At 34.4% G+C, this 12,245-nt stretch overlaps 1 long non-coding RNA gene across 25 annotated transcripts in view; it reads left to right on the forward strand.

The window, feature by feature from the left end:
- Window positions 1-12,245, forward strand: part of LOC102724542 (uncharacterized) — a 368,996-nt gene that overhangs the window by 87,290 nt on the left and 269,461 nt on the right. For 4 of the 25 annotated variants that reach the window (NR_187701.1, NR_187699.1, NR_187711.1 and 1 more), the window contains exon 3: window positions 1,295-1,386. The exons of 12 other annotated variants lie outside the window; for them this stretch is intronic. This is a non-coding gene — a long non-coding RNA (uncharacterized LOC102724542). Of the gene's footprint in view, window positions 1-1,294; window positions 1,387-10,443; window positions 10,583-12,245 lie in introns of all 25 variants that reach the window. 9 more of the 25 variants (NR_187692.1, NR_187694.1, NR_187712.1 and 6 more) reach the window with 3 other exon arrangements.

The raw sequence follows: 12,245 nt of genomic DNA on the forward strand, positions 1-12,245 counted from the left end.
TTCACCATACTCAGGTCTGGGAAAACAAGCAAGATACTCCTAAAAAATTTTCTTTAAATAGAAAAATGCAAATTAGAGCACTTAATATAAATTACAGCATTTAGAAAGACATTTTTGGTACAGAGATTATGAGTAAAAACAGATATTATTATCATAAAGTGCTTGATGTTAATTAACATTGGAGCACATATGAGTTAGAAACTTCCTTATTTTAATTTTTTCTTTTTTTAAATTGTACTTTAAGTTCTAGGGTACATGTGCACAACGTGCAGGTTTGTTACATAGGTATACATATGCCATGTTGGTTTGCTGCACCCATCAACTCATCATTTATATTAGGTATTTCTCCTAATGCTGTCCCTCCCCCAGCCCCCAACCCCCTGACAGGCCCTGGTGTGTGATGTTCCCTGCCCTGTGTCCAAGTGTTCTGATTGTTCAATTCCTATCTATGCATGAGAACATGCGGTGTTTGGTTTTCTGTCCTTGTGATAGTTTGCTGAGAATGATGGTTTCCAGCTTCATCCATGTCCCTGCAAAGGACATGAACTCGTCCTTTTTTATGGCTGCATAGTATTCCATGGTGTATATGTGCCACATTTTCTTTATCCAGCCTATCATTGATGGGCATTTGGGTTCGTTCCAAGTCTTTGCTATTGCGTACAGTGCTGCAGTAAACATACGTGTGCATGTGTCTTTATAGTAGCATGATTTATAATCCTTTGGGTATATACCCAGTAATGGGATGGCTGGGTCAAATGGTATTTTTAGTTCTAGATCCTTGAGGGATCGCCATACTGTCTTCCACAATGGTTGAACTAATTTACACTCCCACCAAGAGTGTAAAAGTGTTCCTATTTCTCCACATCCTCTCCAGCATCTGTTGTTTCCTGACTTTTTAATGATCACCATTCTAACTGGAATGAAATGGTATCTCATTGTGGTTTTGATTTGTGTTTCTCTAATGATAAGTGATCATAAGATTATTGGATCATAATTACAAAAATTATGAGTAAAAACAAAGATATTATCATAAAATGCTTGATATGAATTAACATTGGAGCACATATGGGTTAGAAACTGCCTTATTTTAATTTTTTCTTTTCTTTTCTTTTCTTTTTTTAAGGACAGGGTCTCATTCCATCACCCAGGCTGGAGTGCAGTGGTGTGATTATAGATCATTGCAGTGTCAAACTGCTAGGCTCAAGCAATCCTCCTATCAGCCTCCCAAGTAGCTAGGACTACAGGTGCTGCATCACTATGCTCAGCTATTTTTTTATTTTTATTTTTTGTACAGATGGGGAACTCGCTATGTTGCCCAGGCTGGTCTTGAACTCATGGTCTCAGGCAGTCCTCCTGCCTCAGCTTCCCAAAGTGCTGGAATTACAGGTATAAGCCACAGTGGCTGGCAGGAATTTTCTAATTTGTAATCTGTGTTTGGTTACATTGGCATTAGCCTTATCAAAAATTATTCTGCTGGACATTCATGTTTTGTGCACTTTTCTCTATGTTTCTTATGTTTCATAACAAAACCATTAAAATAAGCAAACAAACAAAAATCCTTGTATGCAAGCATGTTATTATATTCATTCATTCATCAAATATTCATTTGTTTCATGTCCATTATATGCTAGTCTCTGGGTGGTGGAATTCCAACAGTAAACAATAATGAAAAGATGTCCACATGAAGCTTGCAGTCTAGTGCTAAGATGCTGTCAGTTTTCTGCTTTAATTTAACTCTGGATGTAAATAAAGTATCAGCTTTAAAACACTTATAGCAAAATAACTGCAAGGTGAAGCATTAAGCCCTTTAATTACAGTACCACACGAAGTTACTTTTCTATTCATACTATATTCCCAGCATTCAAAGACTGATGTAATTAACAAAGATAAAGTTTTGTAAATAGGTCCAGCTGAGGACCCAGAGAGAGAGAAAGGGGTAGACAGCATAATTATGCTGGGTTCTTGAAGACAAAGGAGGCTGATCCCTGCAAGCACTAGAGAGAGTCTCTACTTACCACATTTTGTCTGCACTCAGTAACCAGGCAATCTTACCAAGAATTTATTTTTTTGGGGGGGAGAAAAAGAGATTAAAAACACATTTTTTCTTCAAGTGTCCTGAACTTTAGTATTGGAAGGCAAAGAATCATGGCATGTTTCTTTGGACTACCTAAATCTCAGTTTTTTAAAGCATTGATAAGCTTTCCTTTCTGAATATAAAATTTTATGATAAAAACCTATACCTCCTTCAGAAAACAGTTTGGGACACAATGTTTATGCAGTTCCAAAAATTATATAAATATATGTGTGTGTGTGTGTATGCAATTTGTAAAATGTTTTGTTTGGGACTTTTAGGAAGAAACGCTATATTTAAATGTTAGTTATAGGCCATAAGAAATGAAATAGTCTTGGAAAGGAGGATGAGGAATGTTTTCTGAACTCCAAGAAAGCTTTACTTTTTTATGAGAAAGAAATAATATAAATTATTCTTGAGATTTACTGGAACAATCTTTTTTCCTCATAGCTTACTGACCTAGAATTCAGTATGGATTCTCATCATCAGTCATATGAGCATTTGCTACATATAGCCCTAATTGTTTATGTAAATAGACAATTACCAAATAATTAACTGGATTCTTCTGTAATGAGTGGTAAGAGGCAGAAATACAGACCTGTATTAATTTATAAAATCTCTATAAAGAAAAACAAGCACATACAGAGAAAGAATTATTCATGAAAATGTTTTCAGGATAAATTATAATAAAAAATAAGCGAAAAGAAACAACTGAAATACTAGTATAATATTGAATATAATAAAATACATTAAGAATCTAAAACATTAAGAACTAAAATCCTATTATATAGAATTTCAATAAAATGCCAGTAAACATTGTATTTACCTAAATAAATTATATAGAAATATATAATTATATCAAAACTACTTTCAATAGTGATGTATAAGTACTTTAAAAATATAACCATAACTGTACTGGCATCTTGTGAAAGATGTAATTAGATACAGAGGACTTTTTTATGTTTGTCCAAAACCGTTTATGATACTCTCATGTATCTCAGCTAAAAATACAAGTTAGAAAATTGACCATTTAATCATTACTTCTCAATCTCTTTCATATCTTTATTTTAGGCATCATCAACTCCTAAGTGGATAAGGCAAAAAGTTTAACATATTCTGTTTCCAATCCTTTCCATCTTCCTTCAGCTGGACATTTTCCACATTGTAGACCTTGTGATCTTCCTAAAATGAAAATATAAACTTACTTTCCGAGAGTTGCAGTGGACAGTATTACTTGTCCACTTTCCATTTACCCTCTCCCCCTTCCTAGTAATTACCTTCTAGATATCCCGTTCTTCTCTCTGAATATCATGATGTTTGAGGAAACTAATATTTTCCTTCATCACTTTGCTGGCCAATCAACAGGTTTACCCGATTAGTTCAAAGTTAATCCTATTCCCTTTATCATAATCATTAGTTCGCTTGACCAACAACTTGACTGATCAACAAGGTACTTCCCTGTTTTGTATAATAAAAAGATTGGCTTCTGTAGGGAGATAGAATCATATTTAAGACAATGAAATATGGGCGATATTATGAGGGAAATATATCTGGATAGTGTGGAATTCTAGACCAATTTATTGCCCATTGAGGAATCCAGCATCAGCCAGAAAACAACCTAGGCAGAAGAGTATAAAAGAGGAAGTCTCAGGGAAATAGGACCAGAGACACTGGGTTGAGTCACCCTGAAGCCCTTCCAACCTCGGCATTTATATTTACGCAAGTCCCCAAGTTTCATTATGGATTTACCAGTTTGAATGGAGTTGCCAGCTTCTTGCATATAATAACATCTAAACTGAATTATAACTCTTCTGACTTTCTTTTGATTTTAAATAAATTTTGAAAAGATGGTATGCCATTATCTCTCTCTATCTCTCTCTTTTTTTTCTCAGCTTCCCAAATTTCACAGGTTCTCTCTTAACTCAAGATGTTTGCAAATAATACTATTTTGGCCTGGAATTCCCTTTCCAATCCCTCTATTCTTGATTAAGTCCTCTATCACCTTTTTGTTTAATCTAAGATTGCTTTTCTAATGCCTCAACTAACTCCCAATTTTCTACAGACTCTCGTGGTACACTAATACCACAGCATACATGGTACACTAATAATAAAGGAACATAGATGTTCCTTATTGAAACATTTAACGAGCAGCATCATATAGAACTGCATTTTTACTGCAGTGAGCTAACATCAAGCACTGTCATTCATTATCCTAGTACTGCTTGCTTCAAGTATTGGATCTAGAAAATAATGTCTGAATAAATAATATGGAGTCAAACATACATAAGTGAATACATGAATAAATATATACGCATTAAAAATTAACTTATGTGAGTTGTTGAAGCATGATGTCATTGTTAATCAATTGAACTCAGAAGAATAATTACTTCTTTGACATGGTTTTATACATGTCTCTTTGTCAGTGCTACATAATGCCTTGGATAGCAAGGAAATCAGTGTCGTACTCCCTTCTCAGCCTTTTGTCAATTAAGTCTCCAATGGCAGTAAGAGCATTTCAAAAGTGTTAGGACAGTGATCAGTATTGTGTGCTGATAGAAGCTCGGTACGATATCACCAATAATGTCTCCTGAATCTTCAATAGTGATAGACAACTGCTTAAAACACAAAATGAGTTATGTGTACAATTTATAAATGTGTATGTGATTTACGGTAGGTATCTTTAAACAGCAATTTTATTCATTTTTTAATGAATGCTTTCATTGAATCAAGTCATATACTATAGGTTGATTTATAGATGTTTATTAGGGGAAAATAGTATAAACGGAATAGAACATAAGAAATAGACCTGGGAATTTCTGAATAGGAGCTGCTTGGTCTGTAACATTTGTATGCTGCATACCCTTGGGCATATGAATCTGTTTCTTGTTTCTTCTAAATTATGAGCTTATGATTACTATACAGTTTTTCTAAGTATTAGAGATAATCTATGTAAAATATTTAGGACAGTTCCTTCTACATAATGAGCTTTTGATAAATAGTGGAGTTTATGATTTCTTTTATTGCTGCTGTTGTTATTATTAAAGATTACCAATATGTTTAAAATTATTGCCAGGCTTACACTCTTTAATTTAATTCTCCTAGATGTTTTTAAAGAAAAAATGATACAACAGAATTAAACATCTTTGGCTGTCAAACTGAAACCAACATTTATCTCTGTTTAGTTTCCGCTGTTTTGAAAACGTGTGAGGTTACAGGTTAGGGGGAGTGAAGAGTTTTCCAAAAAAGTATGAAGATAGGGTGACAAGAGTTTGAGGTTGCAGTGAGCTATGACCATGCCACTACACTCCAGCCTTGGTGACAGAGTGAGACCCTGTATCTGGAAAAAAAAAAAAAAAAGAAAAGGTGAGATGTGGGTGTGAGGACAGAAAGAAATTAGCATTTAATTTGCATTGCCATACATTTTACTTCCGCTTTTTCACAACATACTTCAAAATAGGAATTATCATAACCATTTTACAGATGAAGAAACTAAGGCTCAAGCAATTAAAGTAACTTTTTCTAGATCACATGGACAGTAAGTGTTGAAATCATGAGTTAAACCGGGACTTTTATAAATGCCTAAAGCTATGCTCTTCCTACAATTACATTCGTCTTCAAACTAAATATTAGCAGTCATTGTCCATTGAGCTTTAATAGCAAATGGAGATAAATCTATCAGAAATATTAGTAGCTTTTCAGAAGCTAAAAGGAGAAAGCAATGCTAGCGGCCATCTTGGCTAACTGCCCACCTAATGCAAAACTGATATAATTTAGCAAAAATAAAACTAATTTTCTTGATACCAAGGTTTTCATGAATGTGTCTCTTACATAATGAAAACAAAATTTTCATGGAATAATTACTTTCTCAAATGAAATCATAAAACTGTAAAACAAACTTATTTATATATTATAATTACAAAAATCTAAGCATATTGAATTACAAAAAATGATGAAATTGATGGACTAGGACAAGAGGGCTATGATTTATAACTTTTTCTTCAAAACTGAAGTAAGACTAAGATATTTCCTTAAAGAAAATAAAATTAAAAACAAAAGTCAATATTATAGATTTTTTTTAAAAAGAAAGAAAGAGAAGAAAACTTACCAGACAAATCAAATTTCATGGAAAAAAGTAGTATCTAGCTCTCATATGTAGCATACTTGCAGACGTCATAAAGGATGTCACACGAAGGTCTTAATTCTCCTATTTTTTCTTTAAAATTCTGAAACAATGAAAGATAAATGTGTTCAGGAATTTTATCATCCTCACCTTAAAGAACATTGAAACTTGCAGCTGCTTGCAAATTGTTCATTCATTCACTTATTCATACATGTTATGATCACTGATTATTTTCTATGCACACAGCAAAGTGCTACACAGCAGAGACTACTCTGTCAGGAACGCAAAACAAATGCAAACTTGGACTCAATTCCAGAAGTCTAGGAGCCCACTGGAGCTGATATATAAGGGCTTGATTACATAAATCTAGGTGTCTTCTTGGTAATTAGATGGGGTAGAATATTATCAGTGCTTGAAAGGAATAGTGCAGATAATAAGTTCTAGAGTAAGTCAGAGAATCAAGATATCATTTTGGGCTAGCATCTTCAGAGAAGGCATCACAGAAGTAATCACCATAAAAAACAAGCTAGACATCCTTACAGGGATATCAATACTCTCTTAACCAAAAATTTAAGAGCTTTTTTATCTTTATTCCACAAAAAATGCAAACCTAGTAATGATCTCTCTGAAACTATTCAGAAGTGAATTATTCAATTAATCGGACTGTTAGCCATCCAGTAAGCCATTTAGTCATTCATTTTTTTTCTATACATATTTATTGGCACTAGTTTGGTTTAGGGTATTCTTGGAGATAGAGATTTGGCGGTGGGCTACACAGACTAGTTTTGGTTTTAACGAAGCTAACAGTCTATCAAGAAATATAAGATTTAAATAAATTATCAGCCCAAAATATTACTTCCAATTATATAAGGATTAGGAAAGAGAGTTACAGGTTGATAAAATAATACATTAGAAGAAAGTTGTATCTCCTCAGCATAGGCTATGCAGGCTGTGCACTGCACAACTCTAGGGGCATCTTTCACAGAAATTACAGCATAAATGTATTTGAACTTTATTTAAACTGAATGGGAAATTACTGCTAGGAGTGACATAATCAGCTATGCATTTATAAAAGATGCTTTGTCCAAAGTGTGAAGAATGGATTTGAAATTGAGAACAAGAGTCAGCATGGAAATACTAACAGCTTTTTTAAATGATCCATGAGAAAAATGGTAATGGTGAAGAGAATGGAGTCACAGAGGAGTGAATGAATGTATTTTAAAGACAGAATTGACAAGACTTGCTGCAGGTTGTATATGGGGCTGAAAACAAGGAGGATGCAAACTTTTCAAAGTGTTATTTACTGACAAAGGTCATGGTGTTAAAGATACAAATTTGGTGGAAATATTAAATAATTATTCTTTCTACTTACTTTGTATAATTTACCATGAAACCCCTAAGTGGATAAATCTATCAGGCATGTGGAAACACACAAAATGGGCTGGAGATTTTTACTTGAGATTTTTTTCATAAGACTGTATAAGATATTCTGAAGAGAAGTAATATTGACAAGAGAAACTAGGATTAATTTCACCTCCAAAAATTGCAGTGGATGGGTGAACTTCATCTGTCTTAGAGCATTAACTTTACTCCTCAGTTTACATTCATTAACCTCACGGCTGATGCAGAAATTTTTTTTCTGTTCTTAAGCCTGTAGCTCGATTCCTGGGACAGCCTCAGGGCTAGGCCTCTTGCACAATCTCAGCAGTCATCATCATCATCAAGTGCCTTGGTTCTCCCTCAGGAAGTCCTTGTCAGAATCTGGGGAATCTTCTTATTTTCCTGTATATTTAGCTCAAGAAAGTGCCTATGAGCTGCTGCTCCCTGGCTCCTTGCTTTTATTTCATTTATCTGCACAGATAAACAGACAGACCCAGTTTAAATTTTGGCTCTATTTGCTTTAGGTGAGTGACTCCAGCTATCCTACTCATCTACTTTGTGAATGTTACATGTGAAAATGTATGTAACAGCGCCCAACATATATCAGGTGCACAATGACTGTTATTTACCATTTTTCCAAGAGGAACAATTCTTACTCTGCTTTTACTTCCTTCTAGTCTGTATTTCTGGTCCCTACCTTCTTTTTCTCCCGAAGGTTGCTCATGTTTGTGCTACAGTCTCAGACTCAGGATATCTATGGCTCCATCATGATACATTTCTTGCATCTATTTCTAGATGATTCTAGTTTGGGGAAAATGCATGGTGGGAAGAGTGCATGCACAGAGATTGCTGTTTGTTTACCATGTTAAGAGATATAGTTGCTGTGTACAAAAAATTGGGGAGAGTTTAGTAATCAAAACCCAGTTTAAGAGAATAGAGTGAAATAAGGATAATCTTTGATTCCACAAAAAGAAGAGGGCTCTAGGAGGTCATGCACTAACAATATTGCATATTAGTATGGACACTTTTGTTTATCAAATGCATCACATCATGATTTTTTAAATTACTTACAACAACTTTATGAGGTGAGAATGGATGATATAATTCTCATGTTAAATAAGAGAAAACAAAGGTCAGGACATTTAATAGATTCAAGGGTAACCGCTGGTGGCTCCAAGAGATCTGAATTCTAGACCAGACTCATTAAACTAGCTGTGGCTGCATATAACTTATACTCTCTGAAGTGCTGAGTCTTCTCAGTGGTAACAGAGGAACAGGATTTCTCTAATATCTAATCCAAACTTAAAAGCATGGGATGCTATATCTTGTCTAATATAAAGAGATCATTGGCAGAACTGGGATAAGAATTCTATTCCCTAATTCAAAGCCTCTCCAATACACTACTTTGCTTTAAGACACTTTTCTGGGCTCTGAATAGATAAGAATGGCAATTTTATACAAATAAAACAGCTACATGGGGAAAATGGAGAAGAGCAGACAAAGGAGTATTAAAATCTTCTCATGGTCCTTCCAAGTGCAGAAGCAGGTGATCAAGGTATTGGGTCAGTAGGATGAAAACTGAAAGTAAAAGACTATGGCATGCATACAAATTATAGTGGATAAAATATAAAAGTGGCCCATATCAGTAGTTTTGGAATAGCTGAGACTGGTGTCAAGCAGTTGACTTAATATGGCCTTTTAAATAATCTAGGTGGATTAGAAAGAGGAGTATGGATGGCTAGGAGAGAGTTTGTGGAGATGAAGTGGAAGGATTAAAGTCTTGACTGGAACTGGAGAGATTACAGGCTGAGCCTCAGTTTTCTGGATTGAAGTCATTCTCCAAAGTGTTCCTAAGAAGACACTGTGTCAGCATCTTTTAGCTGGTCATCTATTGAAACTAAGTTAACACTGTTGTTCACAAGTTTGAACTACTAGGGTCAAGGGAGACACCAAGTTATGAATAATATAGTGGCCAAGAAGCTAGTCAGCATGTCTAAATCATCATGTTTGTCTCCTTTTACATAGATTCTAAAATAGTTCCATTTCAGACTCAATAAATACAGGCAGGGTTATTTCAGTAATATAAATGGATGCAGTTATGATAGATTATTTTTTATTTTTTATCTGCTGTAAAGCTGTTACAGTAACAAGATAGGTATGATTTTATCAAAAATTTGTTTTGGTTAACAAAAGAACAAAAACTGGGGTCTTTGAGGAAAGTATCAATGCTGACAGTCATTTGAAAAAAAATCAAATGTGTTACGTAATTCATTTAGCAAATGTTTAAATGCTTATTACATCCCAGACATTTAGTTTGATATTAGATATAAATGTATAAATGGGTATAGATAGGTCAATATAGTTAGATAGATAGTAGACTAAGGTATTACAGTCTCATGAAGAGATGGATATGTAAATCATAAGAGAAAATAATTCTGTAAGAAATTTTTAGATGTAAATTTTCCCTCAACATGCAGGCATAAAAGGATTTAATTCTTCCTGGGGAAATCAGGGAAGAGCTCATGAAGTGCAGACTTCACATAAAAACTTCAAGAATGAACAAGAATGATCAGAGATACACATGTGTAACTAACTTGCTACAGAAAAAGAGAACATGTGTCAGAGATTATTCAAAATTCTCCAAGGAGTTTAATATTTCTGAAGGCTTGAACAAGAGATACATTGGTAGAAGTGAAGTCTTAAAAGGTATAGAGGCCATAGCAGAACATAAAGTGTCTTGTAACCTGTGAAAATAAATTCAAATTACTTCTTGGAAGCCATGAGAAGACTGATGAAATTTAAGAACAGGAATAACATCCAAGGTGTCTTGCAAAGTACATTTCTATAATGCTGAAATCAAATTCATTTTCAGATGAGGAAAGCATCTCAGAGGTAGTGGTCAACTTAAGAAGGGGTCTTTTATTCTAACGCAGATACGTGAACAGAAAAGCCTGAACTAGGGAACTGACCATGAAACTAAAAAGGAGAAAGCATATGCAAGTGGACACAATGTGAGTATCCTGGCTTCCTGTGTTCTGCCTCAGGAAATAGAGAGATAAGTGATATTATTCAACAGAGTCATGGTACCCGAAGCAGTGATGTGGGGGAGATGAGGCGTTTGGATTTGTGGCTGTGTGGGTATTGCCTGGAACTTCTTCCCTGATTTTCACAACTTTAAGTTAAAAGTTAAGTACCAGAGGGAAGAGGTCATTGAAGGAGAAAATCAGATTCATTATTTACTACTGATATATGCTAATTTTATTTAAGGGCAATCAATTCATCAACTTAAATGTAATTTAAGTTACTTTGCTATAGGATATCATTGTTAATGCAAGACTCCATTGCATAGGTTGGCAATCGCATTACTGTGTCCACATATAAAATTATGTTGTTTCCAGTATTTTGATACAAATTCTTTATTTCAGAGGAACTATTATATATTACTATTGTTAACTATTATTGGGATGTCATCCAAGATATGGGTAATGTATACAACTATTACTGTCAGGGAAGGAAAACATAAACAAAATTCATGATGTAAAGCTTCTTATGTGGATCAAATATCATAATGTTCTGGAAGTTTCTTAAGAGCAGGAATGAGAGAAAGAGTTAACAAGTTGCCATGAAGTTAAACAAACTTTCATTTCAAGACCCCTTGCTTGCCTGTCTCTCTTATGAGGAGCCCTAGCAATGTGTTGACTTGGTCATCTATTGTAGTAAAATTTGACCAAGTGTCAGGTTGTTAAGTGCAGGCCGTCGCAATACCAGTGGCCCTATCACACTTGTCCTCTAGTCAGGTGTTGTTGATGGCTACTGGCATAAAGACGTGGGCTAAAGAGAGGTTGTCAGGAAATTCAGAGGCCAGTGAAGACAACCTAAGATGTATAATACACAACCACAATAAGACATGAACAAGAAACTTGTTAACAAGTGACGGCAATTAAGAGTATTTAGATTAGTCACTGGAAGAAAACTTGCAATGTCAAGAAACTCAGAACTCATCTGTGAATGAAGCTCAATAGACATTTTCCTAAATTTGACAAGAATCCTAAAAATGTTCATGATATCACCAGTAATGACTTGTGAAGTAGAAATAAAGAGACTACAGTGAATAAACAAATACCATAGTAAAATAACGCATTATTTTCTTTTATTCTATATAGAACTTAGTATAAACGTCTTGTCTTACAAGGGTGTGATTTTGCAGCCAAAAATGTAAGACAGGGAAGGGGGAATGGAATAGAGTACGGCAAGGCTATTAATGAATACAAATATTATCTCATTTTGTGTTTTATTTTTAAGTTGTTCATGGTATTGGTTAGCTTTTTAAAATTTGCAGTTTGTTGTGATTACTGATTATAAATATTTAATGTCATACCTGTTTATAATCACCATTTTGTGTAAAAGAAGGCCTCTAAAATTATTTAAGCTTCACATCACATAATCACTGTAATATTTCTCTCAAGATCCCTAGCACCAAACTAAAAACTGTAGAGAAAATTGCTCAGTAAAGTTGACCGTTAAACGAACAAGAGAGTGTCAGGATTTGGTAATTAAATGTTAAGTGAGGAACAATAGGGAACACAGCATCTTGATCCTGCTGTAAAAGTAAGGCAAAGTGAATTCAGGGAAAGAGAAATCTCAAAATAAAAGTTTATTCTCAGCTCTATTCAT

Source organism: Homo sapiens, chromosome 2 (assembly GCF_000001405.40).
Source record: "Homo sapiens chromosome 2, GRCh38.p14 Primary Assembly".
Lineage (NCBI taxonomy): Eukaryota > Metazoa > Chordata > Mammalia > Primates > Hominidae > Homo > Homo sapiens.